The 22,536-nt window shown below is 38.7% G+C and overlaps 1 protein-coding gene and 1 long non-coding RNA gene across 19 annotated transcripts in view, besides 6 other annotated features; one reads left to right on the forward strand and one right to left on the reverse strand.

Moving 5' to 3' along the window:
• Window positions 1-1,009: 1,009 nt before the first annotated feature.
• Window positions 1,010-13,706, reverse strand: LOC124904307 (uncharacterized). The gene is made up of 2 exons (XR_007066379.1): window positions 13,627-13,706; window positions 1,010-4,962 (listed from the first exon to the last, which is right to left on the reverse strand). It is a non-coding gene; the product is annotated as an uncharacterized LOC124904307 (long non-coding RNA).
• Window positions 5,954-6,013: an enhancer, noted in NCBI's record as "active region_13343". NCBI's record gives its function as "activates an Ori minimal core promoter by ATAC-STARR-seq in GM12878 lymphoblastoid cells {active_cell/tissue: GM12878}" and the evidence as "EXISTENCE:reporter gene assay evidence [ECO:0000049][PMID:35858748]".
• Window positions 7,799-7,848: an enhancer, noted in NCBI's record as "active region_13344". NCBI's record gives its function as "activates an Ori minimal core promoter by ATAC-STARR-seq in GM12878 lymphoblastoid cells {active_cell/tissue: GM12878}" and the evidence as "EXISTENCE:reporter gene assay evidence [ECO:0000049][PMID:35858748]".
• Window positions 12,680-12,829: an enhancer, noted in NCBI's record as "active region_13345". NCBI's record gives its function as "activates an Ori minimal core promoter by ATAC-STARR-seq in GM12878 lymphoblastoid cells {active_cell/tissue: GM12878}" and the evidence as "EXISTENCE:reporter gene assay evidence [ECO:0000049][PMID:35858748]".
• Window positions 13,090-13,219: an enhancer, noted in NCBI's record as "active region_13346". NCBI's record gives its function as "activates an Ori minimal core promoter by ATAC-STARR-seq in GM12878 lymphoblastoid cells {active_cell/tissue: GM12878}" and the evidence as "EXISTENCE:reporter gene assay evidence [ECO:0000049][PMID:35858748]".
• POLI (DNA polymerase iota) overlaps window positions 13,280-22,536 on the forward strand; it is a 51,788-nt gene continuing 42,531 nt past the window's right edge. For 5 of the 18 annotated variants that reach the window (NR_147257.1, NM_001351621.1, XM_011525797.2 and 2 more), the window contains exons 1-4: window positions 13,280-13,462; window positions 15,161-15,286; window positions 17,727-17,891; window positions 21,504-21,656. Coding sequence is in view for 17 of the 18 variants with exons in the window: in NM_001351621.1 (NP_001338550.1) it covers window positions 13,348-13,462; window positions 15,161-15,286; window positions 17,727-17,891; window positions 21,504-21,656 (559 nt within the window). In the remaining variant the exon portion in view is untranslated. The other 13 variants (NM_001351619.2, NM_001351620.2, NM_001351610.1 and 10 more) reach the window with 11 other exon arrangements.
• Window positions 13,430-13,679: a silencer, noted in NCBI's record as "silent region_9472". NCBI's record gives its function as "represses an Ori minimal core promoter by ATAC-STARR-seq in GM12878 lymphoblastoid cells {active_cell/tissue: GM12878}" and the evidence as "EXISTENCE:reporter gene assay evidence [ECO:0000049][PMID:35858748]".
• Window positions 13,750-13,799: an enhancer, noted in NCBI's record as "active region_13347". NCBI's record gives its function as "activates an Ori minimal core promoter by ATAC-STARR-seq in GM12878 lymphoblastoid cells {active_cell/tissue: GM12878}" and the evidence as "EXISTENCE:reporter gene assay evidence [ECO:0000049][PMID:35858748]".

Genomic DNA, 22,536 nt, shown 5'->3' on the forward strand with positions numbered 1-22,536 from the left:
GTCAATGTACTTACAAAATACATAATTTTTAGCTTAATATATTCTGTTGTTAACAGAACCTAATAATTCAATTAATTACTAGAAGACTTTGGGTTTTCTTGACTTTCTATATTTTGAAGAAAATATAATTACCTATGACTATGTTCAAATGAAATATCCTATTTTTTTCTTAAAATTAACAAAATATTTCAAGTAAGTCAAAAGACTTCTATATTGAAATCTCATTATGCCACAATTCACTAAGGGTAGAATTTCTTGCAGGGTAGGTCAACCAGTAAATAGTTAGACATTTAGAAACAGCCCAAACTGAGTTTGAAGCCTAAATTAGGCAAGTGACTTAATTTCTCTGAGCCTCCATTTCTTCATCTCTAAGGAAATGGGACATTTCATTGCTGGATTCTGTATTAGACTAGAGACAGTTTAATGGTCAAGCATGTGGTAGGTGATTAATCAATGGTCACTATTATAAAATAGCGTATAATTACTGAGCCGCCAAAAGGGCCTCCTTTTAATGATTGTAATTTACAGGGTAATCTCAAAGAACGAATCTCCCATAACCAGTTTAGCAAAATTCCTAAATATTTACTTCCCCCATTGGATCACAGTGAAGTCACATGATATCTACATTTAACATATTTAAATTCAACTATATGCATTTGATAAGAAAAAAAAAGAAGGAAAAAAATCCCTCAATTTTAATTTATCTGGGAAAATCAGCCCAATATTCCTCTCAATGAGCAAATACTCTGGCATAAATATAAGAAATGTGAACCTTTTTTTCAATGGCCTCTCAAAAGTATCAACATCTCAGTGTATAGAGCATAATTCTAGTATTTAAAAATATATACTTTTGTGCAAACTGCTACTAAAGCACAAGCCAACTGCACTTTATCTGCTGCTCAAGCGAAGAAACAACGTTCTGCCTCAAAGCTGGAAGAAAAACTCAATTAGAACATTGAGAAATACTATGCCTCTCTCTGAAGTAACAACTTCCTGAGGAATTTTCCAATGTAATTTAAAAAATATTTTTATTTTGAAATAATTTTAGACTTACAGAAGTTGCAAAATAGTTGTCCAAATAGTTCAGAAAGTTGTTATCTACTCTCTACCCAGTTTCCCCTAAGGCTAACAACTTACATAACCATAGTATAATTATCAAAACCAGGAGATAAACACTGGAACAAAACTATTAACTAAAAAACAGACCTTATTCACATTTTGCCAGTTTTTCCCCTAATGTCCTTTTTCTGTCCTGGAATCTGATCCAGGATCTCATCTTTGATTTATTTATTATATTTACTTAGTCTCCTCCAAACTGTGACAATTTCTCACTCTTTCTTTGTCTTTCATGACTTTGATCTGTGGTTGCATGAAGGTAAAGAAATGTAAATCAAGTCAACAGTTTTTTCTTCAGTGTCTTCAGTATCAATTTTTCAGGTAATTCTTTATAAATCCAAAACCAGGATATTTTCTATGGTGGATTATTAATTAATTTGTCATTACACACGTGAATGTAGCAAATGGCATTACCAACTTGAATTTAACTGCCCAAGTGACCAAAAAGAACAAACTCCTCTTATTCTTGAATAGTTGCTACCTTATAATAGGAACCATTTCAGACACTGGCAGAAGACTCTATAGCTAACGTTCCATTTATGTTATCCTCAGATGGATAGGAGATTCCTCGGCCTTCACAGAATTTGTGAATTCTTTCGTCAGGTACTCATTACCATGTCTTTCTTTCTTTTTTTTTTTGAGGCAGAGTCTCACTCTGTTACCCAGGCTGGAATGCAGTGGCGCAATTTTGACTTACTGCAACTTTGCCTCCTGGGTTCAAGCAATTGTCATGCCTCAGCCTCCTGAGTAGCTGAGATTATAAGTGCATGCTACCATGCCCGGCTAATTTTTGTATTTTTAGTGGAGATGGGGTTTCACCATGTTGGCCTGGCTAGTCTCGAATTCCTGGCCTCAAGTGATCTGCCCACCTTGGTCTCCCACAGTGCTAGGATTACAGATGTGAGCCACCGTGCCCGGCCTACCATTGATTTCTTAATAATCTTTCTGGCATTTATTCAAAAGAAAAATAAGCCAAAGCTTATAGACAAGTAAGAATCATCTTACGTACAAAGTTTTTAAAGAAGTGATTATTTCAACAGCAGTAATTGTCTGTTTGGTACCAATCTGTTCAAAAATATTCTTCAATTATAAACACTACATAGGCATTAACTCTAATGATAGCATCGTTTAAAGATTTTAAAGCATGGTGACAGAAATGAAAAAGAATAATTGAGACCTAAGAGGTTTAAAAAAGTTTTAAACAATTCAGAGGATAGTAGTTATCAAATATGTGTATGTTAGTAACATTAAAAGGTAGGGTTTATATTACACTTTTGAGTACCAGTAGCAACATATGAGTATTTCTCTAGATAACTTTTTTTTTGACAAGGTCTCACTCTGTTGCCCAGGCTGGAGTGCAATGGTGCAATCTTGGCTCACTGCAGCCTTGACCTTCCCTAGCTCAGCTGAACCTCCCATCTCAGGACACCATTGCCTCCACTGCCCATCCTGCATCTGCCTGCCTACCCCAAAAGTGTTGAGAATACAAGCATGAGCCAGAGCCACGGAACCTGGCCTCTAGAGAGACTTTCTACTTTAGTTTTTTCTTCTCTTATTTGTGAAGCCTTGAAAAAACTACTGTGGTTTATTTAGATTCTGGTTTGTGACTTTTTTAAATAAACTTTTTATTTTGGAATAAATTTATGTTTAGAGAATAGTTGCAAACATAATAAAGTGAGTTTTCATAAACGCCTTACCAGTTTCCCCTGTTGTTAACATTTTACATCACCATGCTGTTGCATTGGTCAAAACTAAGAAACTAACATGGCTGGATGCAGTGGTTCATGCCTGTAATTCCAGGACTTTGGGAGGCTGGGGTAGGAGGCTCACTTGAGGTCAGGAGTTCGAGATCATCCTGGCCAACTAACAAGGCCACATCTCTAAAACAATTATTTTAAAAAATAAAATTTAAGTAGAAACCAAAATTAATGTATTTCTATAAACATCTTGTCTTTTATGACCTTGACACTTTTGATGAATATTGGTTAATTATTGGTTTTGTAGAATGCCTCTCAATTTTGATGTTTTCTTATGATTTGATTGAGATTATGCATTTTGGGCAAGAATTCCACAGAAGTAACGCTGTGCCCTTTCGATTACCTTTAATAAGGGATACATCCATGTGGTTATTTGGTTAAGTTAGTGACTGCAGATTTCTCCACTATAAATTTACTATTCCTCTCTTTTTTTTTTTTTTTTTTTTTGAGACAGAGTCTTGCTCTGTCACCCAGGCTGGAGTACAGTGGTGCAATGTCTGCTCCCTGTAACCTCCACCTCCCGGGTTCAAGCAATTCTTCTGCCTCAGCCTCCTAAGCAGCTGGGACTACATGTGCACACCACTGTGCCTGGCTAATTTATTGTGTTTTTAGTACAGATGGGTTTTCACCATGTTGGCCAGGCTGGTCTCGAACTCCTGGCCTCAAGTGATCTACCTGCCTCAGCCTCCCAAAGTGCTGGGATCACAGGCATGAGCCACTGCGGCCGGCCCTATTTCTCTCCTTCTCCTTTTTTTTTTTTTTTTGGCAGAGTTTCGCCCTTGTTGCCCAGGCTGGAGTGCAATGGCACGATCTCAGCTCACTGCAACCTCTGCCTCCCGGGTTCAAGCGATTTTCCTGCCTCAGCCTCCCGAATAGCTGGGATTACAGGCATGCACCACCACCCCGGCTAATTTTGTATTTTTAGTAGAGACGGGGTTTCTCCATGTTGGTCAGGCTGGTCTTAAACTCCCGACCTCAGGTGATCCACCCACCTCGGCCTCCCAAAGTGTTGGGATTACAGGCGTGAGCCACTGCACCCAGCATATTCCTCTCCTTCTACACTCTATTCTTCAGCAACCAGTCACTATGTCTAGCCCACCAGCAAAAAGGGGGAGATTAGGAAAGGGGGAGATTAGCCTTCCTACAGGAGGGCTTATCTACATATAGTGTTTGGAATTTGGTAAGGAAAATTTGTTTATAACAGTCTTTTAAATCTGACATCATTCAGGTGTCAATTTTTCCACTGATGTTGAAATAATATTTGTTGGCCAGGCGGGGTGGCTCACACCTGTAATCCCAGCACTTTGGGAGGCCGAGGCAGGCGGATCACAAGGTCAGGAGTTCGAGACCTGCCTGGCCAGCATGGTGAAACCCGGTCTCTACTAAAAAAATACAAAAAACTATCCAGGCATGGTGTTATGTGCCTGTAATCCCAGCTACTGGGGAGGCTGAGGCAGGAGAATTGCTTGAACCCAGGACGTGGAGGTTGCAGTGAGCAGAGATTACACCACTGCACTCCAGCGTGGGCGACAGAATGAGACTCCATCTGAAAAAAAAAAAAAAAAGAAATAAATAATATTTATTTACCGCAAGTATATTTTTGGTGGATTCTATTAAAGTACAAGGCATACACGTTTTCCACCCTAATATGTTCTAATAGGAGAGAGAGACATTAAAAACAAGTAAGATGTAAATAAGATAATTACATATTGGGATAAGTGTTATAAACGAAACTCAGTAAGATATGAGAGAATGTGGTAACTCTGGGGGAGGCCTTCTGAGTCAGTGCAGTTTGGAAAGGTCAGTCTGAGGTGTTGACATTTGAACAGAGAACTCAAAAAAGAGAACAAACCAGTTCTGTGAAAAACGTTCCAAACTTCAGAATGATTTGGAGGCAGAAAATTGTCCTGTGATGGTTAATTCATGTATCAACTTGACTAGGTCATGGTGGACCCAGATATTTGGTTAAACATTATTCTGGGAGTATCTTTGAAGTGTTTGTAGATGAGCTTAAAATTTGAATCAGCAGATGGAGTAGAACAGTTTTCCCTCCCCACGGTGGATGGGCGTCGTCCAATCCATTGAAAACCTGAATAGAACAAAAAGGTTGAGTTAGGGAGAATTTGCACCCTCTATCTGACTGTCTTTGAGCTGGGACATCAGTCTTCACCTGATGTTTTAGGCTTGGGCTGGAACTTACATCATCAGCTTTCCTGGTTCTCAGGCCTTCTGGTTCAGACTAGAACTATACCACTGGCTCTCCTGGGCCTCTGGGTATCCAACCCACAACTAATATGTGTCGCCAGAATAGAAAAGGGGCTAGAGGCTGGGCGTGGTGGCTGACGCCTGTAATCCTAGCACTTTGGGAGGCTGAGGCAGGCAGATCACCTGATGTCAGGAGTTCGAGACCAGCCTGGCCAACATGGTGAAACACCATCTGTACTAAAAATACAAAAATTAGCCAAGCATAGTGGTGCACGCCTGTAATCCCAGCTCTTTGGGAGGCTGAGGTAGGAGAATCACATGAACCCAGGTGGCATGGGTTTCAGTGAACCAAGATCGTGCCACTGCACTCTAGCTGGGCTACAGAGCAAGACTCCATCTCAAAAAAAAAAAAAAAGAAAAAAAGGAAAAAAAAAGGGGCTAGAGTAGCCCAAGTGTAGGAAAAGATGGTCACTTGCTATGAGAAGTAGAGAAGAGATGGAGCCTGCTCCATCAGGGCCTTGAGGACCATGGCGAGTAAAGGGTTTGATTTTTACTTTAGGTATTGTAGGAAGCCTTTGAAGGATTTTTGGCAGGAAAAGGAAATTAGATATTACATTTTTAAAATATTATTCTGGCTGTCCTAAGGCTCACAGATTGTAAAAAGCAGATACTAGGAGCCCAGTACAGCAGGCCAAACCAGAGATAACTGTATGTATGTGGGCTGGGGCGCGGGGGTGGGGGTAGTGTCAGTACAGACACAGAGAAGTAGAGGGATTTGAGAGAACATTTGGAGGTAGACCCGACAGGCCTCATGTGTCATAATGTGCTTGTAAATAAAGTCTGCAAGTTTCAGTCATTGAGAGAAAGGGAACTACTTGATGTAATACAGAAAGTGCAAGCAGATTAACATAGATCAGGCACACTGTGTTAAATTTATAGACATCTAACTTTAATGTAATTTTTTAAGTACCTCATTTTTTGTTTGTTTTTGGAAAACAATGTCCCTCTGTTGCCTAGTTTGGAGTGCAGTGGCGTGATCATAGCTCACTGTAGTCTGGACCTCCTAGGCTCAAGCAATCCTCCCACCTCAGACTCCTCAGGAGCTGGGACTACAGGCACACACCATCATGCTTGGCTAATTTTTAAAGTTTTGTAGAGATGGGATTTTGTTATGTTGCCCAGGCTGGCCTTGAACTCCTGCACTCAAGCAATCCTCCTTTCTTGGCCTCCCCAAATGGTAGGATTACAGGTGTGAGCCACTGCATCCAGCCAGTACCTCATTTTTTTAATTGAAAAAGTAATCCATGATTATGATGGAGAATTTGGAAAATATAACATTATTCTAGAATTTTAGGAGATTGGATGTGTCTTAGGGAAGGGTGGGATCAAACCCATGAAGAAGGGCACAAAGGTATATGAACAAGAATGTTCACTGCAGCATTACTGGTAACAGCAAAAAATCAGAAATAAGTGTCCATGATTATGGAATTGGTGAAACAATGTAGCCATTAAAAAGAATGCAGTACATTTTTGTGCACTGAAAGGAAATGGTGTTCAAGATATACTAGGTAAAAAAGTCTAATGCAAATAGTATACATAGTGTGATCCCACTCATGTGAATTAGAATATTTTTCATTGTGTCTTCCTTATACTAAGAATATTATAAATAAAAGCCTAAATGTATCAAATTTTGTTAGCAATGGTCACCTCAAGGTGGAGTGGGGATTAGGAAGGATTTTAACTTTATGGTTTATACCTTTTTGTTTTAGTAAGATTTCTTAAACAATGGATATGAAGAAAAAAAATTTTTAAGTAGACACAGAAGCAGTAATTTTAGGATCAATAAGTACTTCAATGAAGTCTTTGAAGCAACAGTAAGAAAAAGTCCTATAAATATAAGCATTACTTTTCTTTATAGAGAGTTTATATTAATCTCAAACCAGAAAAATGGAGATTATTAAGTTGAATTTGTTAGCATTTCCAAGATGAAGTTGAGACTGTCTTTATTCATGTTCTTCGAATTAACATTAAAAACAAATACATGGATAGAACGTTTTCTGTGTCATTTATTTAGGCAATGCATCTTACAGTGGTTTTCGTGGTTTGGTAAATAAATACACAAATTTATTCATGGAAAATACAGAAAATTAGTGGGGCATGGTGGTGCACACCTGTAATCCCAGCTACTTGGGAGGCTGAGGCAGGAGAATTGCTTAAACCTGGGAGGTGGAGGTTGCAGTGAGCCAAGATCGTGCCACTGCACTCCAGCCTGCGTGACAGAGTGAGACTCTGTCTCGGGAAAAAAAAAAAAAAAAAACCGCAACTTTCTTTTTGTCATGCTTTGTGAAAAAATGATTAAAGCATGGTTTTCTGAGCATCAAGATTATGGATTATTACAGATTATTTCCATCATTTTCTTAAGTCCTATGTTTTTCAAATTCTCTATAATAATAATGTATTACTTTTGCAATCAGAAAAAGAGGTACTTTACAAAATGTTTCATTAAAGTTAAATGTCTATAAACTTAAAACAGTATACCTGATCTCTACTGATCTGCTTGTACCTTCTACGTGACACCACGTAGTTTCTTTCTGTCAATGGCTGAACCTTGCAGACTTTATTTACAAACTAGGACCAAATGACTTGTATTGTGATCATATTGGTCTGCACCTCTCTCCATCCAAAATGATGAGGCTAGGTCCATTAAGCACACACCCTGGCAAACAACATTTAAAATATCATTACTGAAATGACTATGCAGGCTTTTCATCAGACTTTTACAGCACCACAAAGAAAAGTCAGAGCAAGAAGATGACTGTTAGAAAAACTCCAGTCTCTTACACCTTCTTTTAGCCCCAATCACATGGTGTGCAGCAGATACTTTTAGGTTACACAGAGTAAACCTGAAACTGCAATCTGCAGCTATGGTGTGCAATGTGATGGTGGAAAAAAAAAAAAGGTTTCTTTGGACACTTGAAATGTTCATGCAAAAGGTTTGAGACCCATGGATGAAAGGTAAGTAAATACCGCAGGACATGTACATTGTACTACAGCCAGCATAGCATAATTATAGTTTGCTTTTAACCTTTTGAAGCCTGTGTTTTCTGGTTTTAGTCTCTTCGCTTTTCAAATTATTCCTGACTCATTAGCTTTTCACCCTAGGGGCAATTCATAAGCTCCATAAAAGTGTGGATATTTTTTCTTTTTCTTTTTCTTTTCTTTTCTTTTCTTTTTTTTTTTTTTTTGAGACCTAGTCTCTGTCGCTCAGGCTGGAGTACAGTGGCAGGATCTCTGCTCACTGCCAACTTCCACCTCCCGGGTTCAAGTGATTCTGCTGCCTCAGCCTCCTGAGTAGCTGGTATTATGGGCCATGCCCAGCTAATTTTTGGATTTATAGTAGAGATGGGGTTTCACTGTGTTGGCAAGGCTGGTCCTGAACTCCTGACCTCAAGTGATCAGCCCACCTTGGCCTCCCAAAGTGCTGGGATTGTAGGTGTGAGCCACCACGCCAAGCCGTGGATATTTTTCTTAAATTTCTTTTCCAGCAAATGCATACCATTTGTTTTTTAGTATCAGAATGTAAATTCCCACAGTGAGAAGCAACTAAATAATACTTATTTTCATCTTTTATACCCTTTTTTCTTTTCTTTTCTTTTCTTTTGTGTGTGTGTGTGTTTCTTTTTTTTTTTGAGACAGAGTCTCACTCTGTTGCCCAGGCTGGAGTGCAGTGGTACAATCACAGCTCACTGCAGCCTCAACCTCCCAGGCTCAAGCATTCCTCCCACCTCAGCCTCCCTAGTAGTTGGGATTACAGCCATGTCCCACCAGGCCTGGTTAATTTTTTTTTTTATTACTTTTTTTTAGAGACGAAGTCTCACTATGCTGGTCTGAAACTCCTGGGCTCAAGCCATTCTCCTGCCTTGGCCTCACAAAGTGTTGGGATTACAGGCATGAGCCACCAAACCTGGTCCTATCTATAATTAAAAGCACGTAACTGAAGACCAATTCTTCATTACAACTGGAGACCCTAATCTGAAGAGGCTAGTTGGGAGCAAGGTGGTGTAGACACTACTGGTATCCCAACCACGGACCAATTGACACTTTGGGATGAATAATTCTTTGTCATAAAGGTTTGTCTTTGCACTGCAGGATGTTCAGCAATATCCCTGGCCCCTACCCATTAGATGCCAGTAGCACAGAGCTCCAACACAGAGATGTGACCACCTAAAATATCTCCAGACACTGCCAAATATTCACTAGGGAACAAAATCAGCTTGCTTGAGAACGATTGCGTTAGGCCAAAGACCTCACAAAATCAAATCCTCTGTGCCTTTGCCAATTCAAATTGCTCCTTTAACTCCATGGTCAACTCTACCCACTTAGCCACCCACCAACATAAAATACAGACACAAACACCCTCACATTCTTCATATGAAATACCTTGAACATTGTCTAGTGTTCTTCCTCTGAGCCATATGTGGCCAATTTGGCTAAGAGGAGAGAAGTAACCACTGATGCCTATTTCCTACCCTCCACTGACATGGGAGTTCATGCTTATCCTTTTAAATGTATTTAAGTTCATAATGTGCTGACTTTCTTTCTTTGTTTCTTTTTGGAGATGGAGTCTCGCTCTGTTGCCCAGGCTGGAGTGCAGTGGCATAATCATACATGACTGAAGCTTCAAACTCCTGGCTTCAAGCAATCCTCCTGCCTCAGCCTCCTGAGTAGCTGGGATTACAGATGTGAGCCACCGTGTTGGCATGTCTTGACTTCTGAAGCTCTAAAATGCCTCCAGCTTCTTTATCCACTAGCCACGCTCTGTAAATCCATGCTCCTCCATAAATTTTGTTTGACCATAATATTATTTAATTAACTATGTCTATTCTGCCTTGAAATTGTTTTCTTCATTTGGCACTTAAATATACAGTTATGACCCAAGCTCAAGACAGCTATTTCCTGAAGTTATTCTAGATTAGATCCTATTAATTAAAACTGGGAGTAGGGATTTTTAGAATCAAACCCCAAAATCCTTTTTTCCTAAAACATTCCAAAACAATGAGACACGTTAGCTTATATAAATTTTATTTTCGTGCCTCTTAATACCTTTGAGGGATGTTTATTCTCCCCACTACCAGCCGTCTGGTGTTTGAAGCAGTGAGGAAAATGGTCAGAGCTAATTGATTTCCTATATGGAGAAAACATTATTAATGAATTCTTCACTGTGGAAAATTCTGAAAAGTGGATCTGCCATTACTAGATTCATAGCCTTGAGCAAGCATGTTAATCTCTCCTAGGCTATTTCATCTTTGGTAAAATGAGGATGCTGACATCTACCCTCTAGGGCTATTATATTGAATGAAATGACCTGTTTCAAGCTTTTAGCCCTGTGCTTGATATACAGGTGTTTTATGAGTGTCCTTTTTAGTGCTGCTTCTCTTCTTTATTTCCAGCACTTGCTAAATACTTTCTGGGGTCCAGGGCAAAATGAAAATATGGGGCTTCCTTGTTAAAAAATTAAGAATTTCAAGACAAGAGCAGAATATGAAATCAAGTGTTGAGCCCTATGTGACTGCCTACGTCACATACTCATCAAGCCAGCCCTGCTTGCTCCCCTAGGATTTCCAAGGGTCTACTTTTCTATCCTTTCACGAAATTAAAAGCCACTCTTCAAATTAAACAACGGATGGGGAAATAAATGCAACTAACTAAAGAGGGCTTGATTACGTGCATTGTTTTTTAACACTGTCTCACTTAAGCAACATGTTGAATGTTAGTGAGCCTAGGGCTCTTCTAGAGAGACCGTTTTCATCTGCCATAGTATTTTAGTGTTTATATCATTTTCTATCTGGAAGAATGAAAAGAAAAACAAACTTTGGTTGTCTATTAGTAATCAGACCACTGAATGTTGTCCAAGAAGCACTTAGTGGACAAAGAGACACTCAATTCAAAAGCTCTCTATGTAGGCTGGGTCGCGGTGGCTCATGCCTGTAGTCCTAACACTTTGGGAGGCCAAGGCGGGCGGATCACTTGAGGTCAGGAGTTGGAAACCAGCCTGGCCAACATGGTGAAACCCTGTCTCTACTGAAAATACAAAAATTAGCTGGGTATGGTGGCACACGCCTGTAATCACAGCTACTCAGGTGGCTGAGGCAGGAGAATTGTTTGAACCCAGGAGGCAGAGGTTGCAGTGAGCCCAGATCGCACCACTGCACTCCAACCTGGGAGACAGACTGAGACTCTGTCTCAAAATAAATAAATAAATAACTAAATAAAATGAAAAACCACCAAACAACTATCTAGACTTATCAAACAGCTTTCACAAAGATAGCAGCCTAGCTCTCTGAACAGGTAATTTATAACCTAGATAGCAGACTTTGAAAGAACTGGTCCAGACATCTAAGAATTAAATATGCAAAGAGGAAGATTTTGTTTCCAAACCACTGAGACCCAGCTCTGCTTGTTATTCCCTTTTCTTCATGGATGCATCAACATATCCTTTAAAGCAGGGGTCCCCAGTCCCCAGGCCATGGACCAGAACCAGTCCCTGGCCTGTTAAGAACCATGCCGCATAGCAGGAGGTGAGTAGCGGGCCCGGGAGTGCAGCTTCATCTGTATTCACAGCCACTCTCCACTACTGGCATGACTGCCTGAGCACTGCTTCTTGTCAGATCAGCAGCGGCATTAGATTCTCACAGGAGCCTGAACGCTACTGTGAACTCGCATGCGAGGGATCTAGGTTGCATGCTTCTTATGAGAATCTAATGCCTGATGATCTATCACTATCTCCCATCACCCCAGATGGGACAGTCTAGTTGCAGGAAAACACGCTCAGGGCTCCCACTGATTCTACCTCATTATCTATTAAAATGTAATAATAATAGAAATAAAGTGCACAACAAATGTAACGCACTTGGATCATCCCAAAACCATCCCCCTCCCTTCTGTCTGTGGAAAAATTGTCTTCCATGAAACCAGCCCCTGGTGCCAAAAAGGTTGGGAATGGCTGCTTTAAAGGGTTTCTCAAGGTTCTAATATTTTATTTGATAAGAAGTAGAATCATATAAAAAACCAAACATATGTGTTAATTTGGGTATTTATACAGATATAGTGTATATACATACATACAGGCATGGAGGAATTTCCAAATTTCCTCTATTGTAAAACATACACATACACACACCAACACACACATGCACACATGGTATCCTAATAGAAGGCAAGGAGAATAGACATTTACTGAGCACTTCCTATGTGCCACATGTTTTATATACATTAGGATATTACAGTATATGGTAGCTTTTATCCATTCATTCAATCTCAATACTTTTTTTTTTTTTTAAGAGTAGAGCAACTGAGGCTCACAGCAGTTATGTAACCTGCCCAAAGTCACACAGCATGATGGAGGGTCTGGATTGGAGATTTTGTCTGACTACAACACTCATGTATCAAATCCTATTCAGTTTTGATGTTAAAAATTCTGTGGTTGAATTCGTCACAGTGTCTTTAAATAAAACAACAACAAACAAAACACAGCAAACCTTAACATAGTTGCTAATCATATGAGTTTACAAGGCCACCTGTGTCTTTACTATCAGTTACACTCCTTCCCACCCCATCACATTAATCACTCAGGTCTAGGGATTTGCAAGTTTGCTAACAGCCGAATGGAACAAAGACAAAACGCTAAAATTTGTGATGTGGGCCTAACTCCAAAGCCTTCAAGAAAAAAAAAAAAAGGCCAGGCGCAGTGGCTCATGCCTGTGATCTCAACACTTTGGGAGGCCTAGGAGGGTGGATCACCTGAGGACAGGAGTTCGAAACCAGCCTGACCAACATGGTGAAACCTCGTCTCTACTAAATACAAAAAAATTAGCTGGGCGTGATGGCGCATGCCTGTTAATCCCAGCTACTTGGGAGGCTGAGGCAGGAGAATCGCTTGAATCCGGGAGGCAGAGGTTGCAGTGAGCCGGTATTGCGTCACTGTTGCCCACTCCAGCCTGAGCAACAAGAACGAAACTCCGTCTCAAAAAAAAAAAAAATAGCCATTTGTGCTTTCAATCTCTCCGCTTCCGGCCTCCACCCGGCGGGAAAAAACTCCCGCACGTGGGCCTCCACGATTCCTTGGCATGCGTGTCACTCTGGGCAACAGGCTGGTCGGCCACGACTGCGCAGGCGAGAGGCACAGAGCGACTGGAGACTGTAGTCCCCCGGTTTCCCTGGAGACCAGGCGGAAGCGGCCGGAAGTAGCGCTGCGGTTGGCAGCGGCGGGATGGAGAAGCTGGGGGTGGAGCCGGAGGAGGAAGGCGGCGGCGACGACGACGAGGAAGACGCCGAGGCCTGGGCCATGGAACTGGCGGACGTGGGGGCGGCAGCCAGCTCGCAGGGTGCGCCGCAGCCAGAGGAGCCAGCGGCCTCCTTGGGTGTAAATGAGAAGGGTGGGGCAGGCGGACGCTCGGGGCGGCGGCCACTGGGGCGCGACCGTCCCCGCCCCACTCGGCTCCTCTAAGAGAGGGCTGCCTCCCTCTGCCTTGTGTTACGCGGCGGGTACCTCTAGAGGAATGGCTTCACCCAGCAGGAGTAGGGTGGGGCGCGTCCACACTACAAATACGTGTCGAGGGTTTATCTGCGCCGTCCTTTCCTCTGTGAGGGGCGAGGTGGGGCGGGAATCCCTCAGCCAGCCCGACGAAAACTGCAGAGGCTTCTGGGCCTTTTAACTTTGGAGAAGTTGAGGACCTTGTCGCTCATTTGGCAGAAGGTGGGACCCGGATCTCAGTCCTGGCAGGAAGGGATGGCTCAGAACCTAGGCGGAGTCAGGTCCGCTGTGGTCACGTCTCCGGTGACCCACTTCCAGCTCTGGTCTTTACCTTGTACCGCCCACCTCAGGGCCTGGATGTAAAGGCACCGGTTCTCATTTCCTGCTGGTTTTGTTTCATTCATTAATTTAGAGACAAGGTCTCCCTGCAGCCTCGAACCCCTGGGCTCAAGTGATCCTCCGCCCCAGCCTCTCCGTCCCGAGTAGCTGGGACAGCAGGCACGTGCCACCACACCTGGCTGATTTTCAGATTTTTTTAGATCAGGTGTAGCTGTGTTGTCCAGGCTGGTCTCAAACTCCAGCCACAAGCGATCCTTCCACCTCAGCTTCGAAAAGTATTGGGATTACAGTAGTTAGCCATCGTGCCTGGCCTTTTAAATTTTGGAACTTTAGGTTTACCTGAAAGTTGCAGAGCTAGATCCCCCTAGTGTTAACATAAACTCAGTACATTTGTCAAAACTAGGAAATTAACATTGGTATAATACTATTAATTGAACTACACGCTTTATTAATATTCTACCAGTTTTTCTGCTAACGTTCATTTTCTGTTCCAGGATCCCAACCAGAATATTGTATTGTATTTTGCCTGTCTTGTTTTTAGCCAGTGTTGAGAGAAGGAGTCGCCTCTGTCATTCCCTCCCCGACAAATAATGACCTAACAACTTTTTAAAATCAAAGAACTATTCAGTCTTTCAATTTAGTGAATATTTATTGGTGGTCTGTTATGTCCTAGACACTGTTTTAGGCACTGGCGATTTAGCATTAAACCAGATAATCCTGCTGCCATGGGAGCTAAAAATAGCCCACACTTGTACCCACTGGTTGTCTTTTGCCATTTTGTATTTCAGTTTTTGTTGGTTTGTTTGTTTTAAATGTAAGGGCATGCTGCTTAGAATAATTTTCAAGCTGTGTGAAAATCAACGTCATTTCAACTTTTCTGCCCCTTCTGGTTTACACTAAGAGCTACTATAAACTTCCAGGTGATAGTATTAGCTCTTTCATCATCCATTATTTATCACATTTTTTCCCTTCAAACTTATTACTATCCTGAGAAAAACGCAGTGCACAAACAGTAATTAAGAGGACTGAAGACCCTACCCTAAGTGGAGTTTCATGTCTTTGTAATTTTTCGATGCTTTCACACATAATCCAGGAGAAAACACGTCACTCTGCATTCTTCCTTCACAGGTACCATGTTTTAAGGAACTGTCAGTTGCTCAGAGATAATAAGCAGCCTGAATTTCTTTTTATTTCTTTGCATATTGTGCAGGAGTTCATGATCAAGTGTTGCCCACACCAAATGCTTCATCCAGAGTCATAGTACATGTGGATCTGGATTGCTTTTATGCACAAGTAGAAATGATCTCAAATCCAGAGCTAAAAGACAAACCTTTAGGTAACTGTAGATTTATAATATTTTTAATTGCATAATGATTAGATTAGCAACTCATCATGCTCATTATATACTGATTTATTAACCTTATTAAGAAAGATTTTGGAAGCAGTTCTTACAGTGCTTTATAGCTGGTCATTTTTGCTTCACTACCAAGTGTAAATTTTACAAGCCTCATTTAATAAGTGGTGAATCTGAGAATAGTGTAGTCGGCAGAACAAATGAAGAGAAAGCAGAATAAATGTTACTTTTCTGTGCTGGTTAGTAGCTTAGTTTGCTGGTCAGATTTCTTTTTCTCACTATTTGAAATTTTACAGGCTTTGTTCTCAAAAACAGCCTCTTATTACATTTTAGTGGAAGTGTTCGTCTGTCCTCCCCTTTCTGAAATTATCTCTTAAATTGTGTAACATCTAACTAACTAGTTGGATTTTGAACATAAACCTAAGTATTATTAAGACAGCAAACTTGCCGTAAAAACATAAGCATCTTTTTAAATAAAAGCCAAAATAAATTTTATATTGGATATTTGTTGATATGCTAGCTTGTTTTATCATTTTTATTATTCATATTTTAAATTGAGAAAGATAAAGAGATTTTCTTTCATGCATGCAGGAAAGATTCCTCTTTTAGTGTAAGCATAAAGAACATTTTTGGTTCACTTGCTGCTACCCTCTTGTGCCCACTTTGGCTTAATAAATCCCAATCCAGCCTAGCTGATTTACTGAAGAACAAAGGGATGACTAGTTTTTGCTACGCCAAGGTGAGTCTAGGATCTTAAAACTTTTCTAAGGGTGCCAAGGAGTTAGAATCAGGGGACCTAAGTTTTTTCTCCTGAAGGCATTTCTGAGTAGTAGCACTGTGTTATAAGATGTTCTGTAGATAATGCTTAATAAAAAAACTGTAATTAAGTACGAATGAATGATTATTGGGAAGTGAGGGATATGAATGCTCCATGTTTTTGGGGGAAAACGAAAGTAGTCTTTCATTTTGTTTTTGTTGTTGTTGTTGAGAAGGGGTCTCACTCTGTAGCCCAAGCTGCAGTGCAGTGGTGCGATCTTGGCTTACTGCAAGCTTTGCCTCTGGGGCTCAGGTGATTCTCCTGCCTCAGCCTTCCAAGTAGCTGGGACTAGAGGTGTGCGCCACCATACTCGGTTAATTTTTTTGTATTTTTAGTAGAGACGGTTTCACCATGTTGCCCTGGGTGGTCTCGTATGCTTGAATTCAGGCGATCCACCTGCCTTGGCCTCCCAAAGTGCGGGGACTACAGACGTGAGCCACCGTGCCCGACCAGTAGTGACATGCAGTGATGAGGCCATATAATGTAATGCTCTATTAAAGGACTCCTTTTTTTAGTTAAGAAATCTAGCAATCTGATTTTTTATGTAGTTCACTGAGGAATCTCAAATTATTATTACCTTTGGTTCCATGATTATATTTTTGGGCATTACCTGATATATGAAAAAACTTTATATAAAAATAATGTTGTTTATGATATCAAAATTTTAGAAACAATGTCTAATAGAGAAGTGGACATAACCTTTTTTTTCTACATGTTTGTATTTTACATATTTTAGGTGAACATTACTCTTACAGTGGTAAGCAAGTAGTCAACTTGTATAAAAAAAGAGCAAATAATTTTTAGCAATCTTGAGTCACCAATAAACTAGAATTTTTTATGCAGTCTGTAAATAAATGATCATAATTTAATCATTTTTGATAGAACAGTTCAATAAGTAGTACATAACTGTTAGATCCCTAAAAATTGCTGTAGCCCAGCACTTGTTTTATATATTTTATATACATATTATATTTTATATTGCTTTATATTAGCAAGTTACGGAGAAGAGAAGTTGAGTTTTTCTAGCAGCAACCAGTATTTAGTTGTACTCAATTATTTTCATCCGTTTTTTTTTTTTTTGGTAGAACATGCCCTATTATATGGCAGTATAAATTAATCTGCTTTTATATTGTCTGGAAAAAAATCCTAGAGAGATTTGATTTGTATCTTATCACTGAAGATTCCATAGAATATATTGATTTAGGTTCATTTTTAAATTTTAGAAATGTAATACATAGATTGCCTTTTGTATATGAATAATTGATCTATCGTCTAACTTTTAATTCTGTGTTATTCAGTGTTTTGTTATTTAATAATAACTTTCCTTCTTCAAGGAGACAAAACAACTAGAGATTAAAAGTGGGGTATGGAAAAATAATACATTGGTATATTATAATTCATAATTAGGAGATAGCTTGAAAACCTAATGTTTCTGCATTATAGAGATTTGATATATGGAGGCTATGTTTTTTAATTGAGACAGGGCTTTTGATTCTTATCAAAACTGATTGTCTTACAATTTAGACAAATGTAATACGGAATTAATAATATCTTTAAATGTTTTCTTCAATTGTGCTTGGGTTTCTCATAAAATATTTTTTACAGGGGTTCAACAGAAATATTTGGTGGTTACCTGCAACTATGAAGCTAGGAAACTTGGAGTTAAGAAACTTATGAATGTCAGAGATGCAAAAGAAAAGTGTCCACAGTTGGTATTAGTTAATGGAGAAGACCTGACCCGCTACAGAGAAATGTCTTATAAGGTTACAGGTACAAATGATAAGCAATGTACTTTTAGCATTAATTTTTATGTAGGATGCCTGTTCATTACATGAATTTTTTAATAAATGTAAAATAACATAAGTCAAGATGCTTTTTCCTAATAACTTCTTATTTTGGGTCTTGTCAACTTTAAAAATTATGTGAAAGGATAACTGTATGCTATGAATAGTATTTTTAAGAAGATGTATAGTTGGAAGTAATTTTAACTCTTATTATTGATGTTTATATAACAGGGAAAAGTGGAAAACAAAGTTTAAAAGTGAGAAAATGGGAAACTGTACTGTAAAAGATGCCAGGTCTTTAAAATTTTAAGTTTAAATGAATTACGAAGAAATATGTTGTTTTCTAATGCACTAATGATAATTGAAAGAGGCTTCTGTAACATTTGATCAACATAATTAAAAACTGATTTCTTATGAAATATTAATAAAAATATTGGATATATTAATATTTTCTTAGGTTTTATATATATACTAAATATTACAATGTAGCTAAACTTTCCTATGCTAAGGTTTGGGTTTAAATCTTAGTGTTATAGTAAATTACAGGAAAAATGAAAATGAGTGTGCACTGGCACATTGCAAATATAGTAGGTTGATGCAAAAGTAATTGTGGCTTTCACAATTACTTTTAATTGCGAAAACCGCAATTACTTAATATATAGTGTAAAAATGTATAATGATCAGCTTTGCAATTATTTGTCTTTTTTACTTTTTTTGTTTTTCTTTTATGATAGCAATTTTCAGATGACTGGATTAAATGTCTATAATATACAAAGACCTCTTAGAAATTAACAGGAAAAATAAACCTAATAACAAAGGACAAAGGATATGAATAGGCAGTTGACAAGAAGAGCCTAACCCAGTGTCTAACAATTATAGGGAAAAAATGCTCAAATTCATTAGTGGCCAAGGAAATTTGAATTAGTAAGATATTTTATATCTGTCATACTTGCCCAAAATTAAAAGCAATGTGAGAAAAAAGTATCAAGAACACTTACTGAGTTTAAAGATGAATGTTCTTCAATCCAGTGATATCATTGCTGGGAGTTTATCAAATAGAAATAAAATCATAAGGCTGGGTATTGTGGCTCATACCTGTAATCCCAGCACTTTTGGAGCTGAGGTAGGAGGATTGCTTGAGCCTAGAAGCTCGAGGCTGTGAGCCGTGATTGTGTCATTGCATTGCAGCCTGAGTGCGCATGACAGAGTGAGACTCTTGTCTCTAAAAAAGAAAGAGAACCACAAGTACATAAAGACATATGTACAACAATGTTTATCATAGCATGGTTTATGATTGTCAAAAGTATGGAAGGAAAAATGCCCATCAAGAGAAATAGCCAAATAAACTAAAACATCTGTATAATGGATATTATATAGCCATTAAAAAGAATTCATTGGTGCAATACTATTTGACTGATGGAGATAGGGCTTGTTGAGTGAATAAAAGGCAAGGTACAAAGTCATGTATCATGTTTTTCCAAATGTGTAAAATTATGGCCTAAATGCCTCCTCTCATATTCATCATATAGATGAAGAAGAGTAAATCATTGTTTTGATTTGCAGTTTTCCATGAGTAAGGTTGAGTATTTTTTCATATATTTTTGGTCATTTATGTATTTTTTTCTGTTAACGTATTCACTTGCACCTGTTTTTAATTTGGGTTGTTCATCTTTTTCTAAGTACTAAGTACCTAGTACTTTTTGTGTTAGGTATTTTTTGAAAAAAGTTACTTTATCAATTTTTCTCACAGTATTTTTCTGAGTTGAAGTAGGCGCGTAGCCAGTTAGTCCTTTACTGTATTTATCTCTGATCTGTTTATAACCTTATTATTTATTTCATATTTTGATGCTACTGCATATATACCTTTCTTCAAGGTATTTTTTTTTTCTGTAATTACAGACTCCTCTTTTGGGCCCTATATAATTATATGTTTAATAAATGTATCTTGCTTATGAAGTTGATACCAAGAAAGAGGTTAACTTCAGGAATGGAGGCTGGGCATGGTGGCTTATGCCTGTAATCCCAACACTTTGGGAGGCTGTGGTGGGGTATCATTTGAGGTCAGTCTGGGCAATATAACATAGCAAGACCCTGTCTCTACAAAAGTTAAAAAAAAAAAAAGTTAGCTGGTAGCATGTGCCTGCAGTCCCAGAGGCCGAGGTAGGAGGATTGCTTGGGCCCAGGAGGTCAAGGCTGTACTGAGCTGTGGTGTGCTACTCCACTCCAGCCTGGGCAACAGTGAGACCCTGTCTCATTAAAACTACAGCAACAACAAAAACCTTCAGGGACGGGATAATTAGGGATTTGTCCTGTGACCTAAAATCAGTCAATATTTAGTGATCCACCAGCTTCGTGCATGATTCTGTATTTAACTTGCTTTTCTATTTAGTGCTTAAAGCCTTATCCTTTATTTTTCTTATGTAGTATTCTTTTGATAAACTCTTGTTTTCTACATGTTACTTTGCATATCAGGTATATACTTTTGAAAATAAATTGCCGAAATTGATGAAGGAAATGCAAAACAATCATTTTCTTTGATTAGACATATTGTCAGTCTGTCCTGAAAGGAGGTAATAGTTTTCTCTAGGTAATAGTTTTCTCAGGAGTGATTTTTGGTGTTTGCCATGTCACATTGTTACCTTTATTGGTTTCCCCTCACATTGTCAATGTTGACATCAACAAAACAAAAAAGCACCTTTGGTGTTTGTGAAAAAACATGATCTATGTGGAATGAGATAGTCCTTTTATTTCTGAGCTTCAGATTATATGACCTTAAGAATCTATGCATTTTTGTATACTAAGAGACTTGCATTTGTTTTCTCTTATCCAGCTGGTGTCAGTAGAAAGTGATTCAGAGGGAAGTGAAAAACTTTCTCAATGATTTTAAAGTTATTAGTCTCAATGTTAATATATGAAAATTGATAGTTTTTTTGAATTTATTTTGAATTTTGGTTCAGCTTAATCTAGTAAACATTTGACTTGAGGACTAGATATTGTGCTAGACGCTGGGCATTTGAATACCTGTAAGTTGTGGTTCATCTCTGCCTCTCTGTCCTAAGGAATATTCTTGGGAATGGCTAATAAAAATACCACGTTATAGTATATTTTGAAAGTTGACTGACTTTCTGTTTTATTCAGTAATAATTGGACATTTTAAATATTATTTTGTTTTGCCTCTTTTAAACTCTTGGAGAAAATATAGCTAAAATATACTATTACTTGTTTTTAACTTTCCTGAGCAGCCTATAGTTTATTCTTTGACACATTTCTTCAAGGTCACCAATTTACTATAAGCATTGATATTTAATGTACTACAGATATAAAAATTATAGGTGTAGAAGATTGAGCTAGATATATTGCCATGAATAACTGCCCTAGGAATGTCATTTTTAGACTTTTTTGAAAATATTGCCTTTATACAAGATGTGGTACAGAAAAAACGTCAATTAACTGAGGGCTTTATTAAAGATATTATGGAACTATGAATGTATATAAAACCTTTAACAATAAATTTGATAAATTTTTAAGCACTAGATAGTTAAATTTATCCTAGTTATAACTTCATTTACATTTGTGCTCCAATATTATTTCAATTTAGAATTACTGGAAGAATTTAGTCCAGTTGTTGAGAGACTTGGATTTGATGAAAATTTTGTGGATCTAACAGAAATGGTTGAGAAGAGACTACAGCAGCTGCAAAGTGATGAACTTTCTGCGGTGACTGTGTCGGGTCATGTATACAATAATCAGTGTGAGTGGGTTCTTATTCATTCTACCTACTAACCAAAAGTACATACATTTCTTAATGTTCAGTGAGTTCGCTGTGTGATTCTGAAAGATTCATGACTTTTGTTGGAGGTATAGTTATATTTAGTCAGTAATCTGTCTAGGACAGCTAAAATTAGGTGCTGCTATTCCATAATAAGTGTTAAGATTTTGATGACATGTAGCTCAATGCTCTGTGCACTTTTCATTTGCACAGAGCATTGTTCCTGTTCATCTGCACAGAGCATTCATCTGTGCAGAGTTTTCGTCTGACACAGTGCATTGGTTCCCATTTTAGAAAGCCATACCCAGCTGGGCACAGTGGAGCGCCCCTGTAGTCCCAGCTGTTTGGGAGACTGAGCTGAGAAGATTGCTTGAACCCAGGAGTTTGAGTCCAGCCTAGGCAACAGAGCAAGATCCCATCTCTTAAGGAAACAAAAAGCCATACCTCTGTAGGTCATTCTTAAGTTGTAAGAGTTGGCTTCTTAATATGCTTTTTGGAATAATTTTTTATTATTCTAAAACAATCTCTAAGCAGAGTTTTCAGGTAGGCTAGATTTGCCTTTGATGTGTCTTTTACATGTTCCCTTCGATTCCCCTTTGATGTGTGTTTTACATGTTCACTTCGATTCCCCTGAGACCCTCATGTTGCTCTCTGAATTCCCAAGTTAGCACTTTTGGAATGTTGTCCAGGGCTATCTGCCATGTGCTAGAATCTTCTCCAAGCTCCTATTTAATCTGTTCAAATAATCTTTGTCAAAGTTAGCAAGAAAGCAGAATGGTTTGTCTCCTTCATATATTGAGATATGAATGACTGATGGTGTTTCCAGTGATATTTACATTTGAAAATAAGCTGCAGTAAGCAC

Source organism: Homo sapiens, chromosome 18 (genome assembly GCF_000001405.40).
Source record: "Homo sapiens chromosome 18, GRCh38.p14 Primary Assembly".
Taxonomy (NCBI): domain Eukaryota; kingdom Metazoa; phylum Chordata; class Mammalia; order Primates; family Hominidae; genus Homo; species Homo sapiens.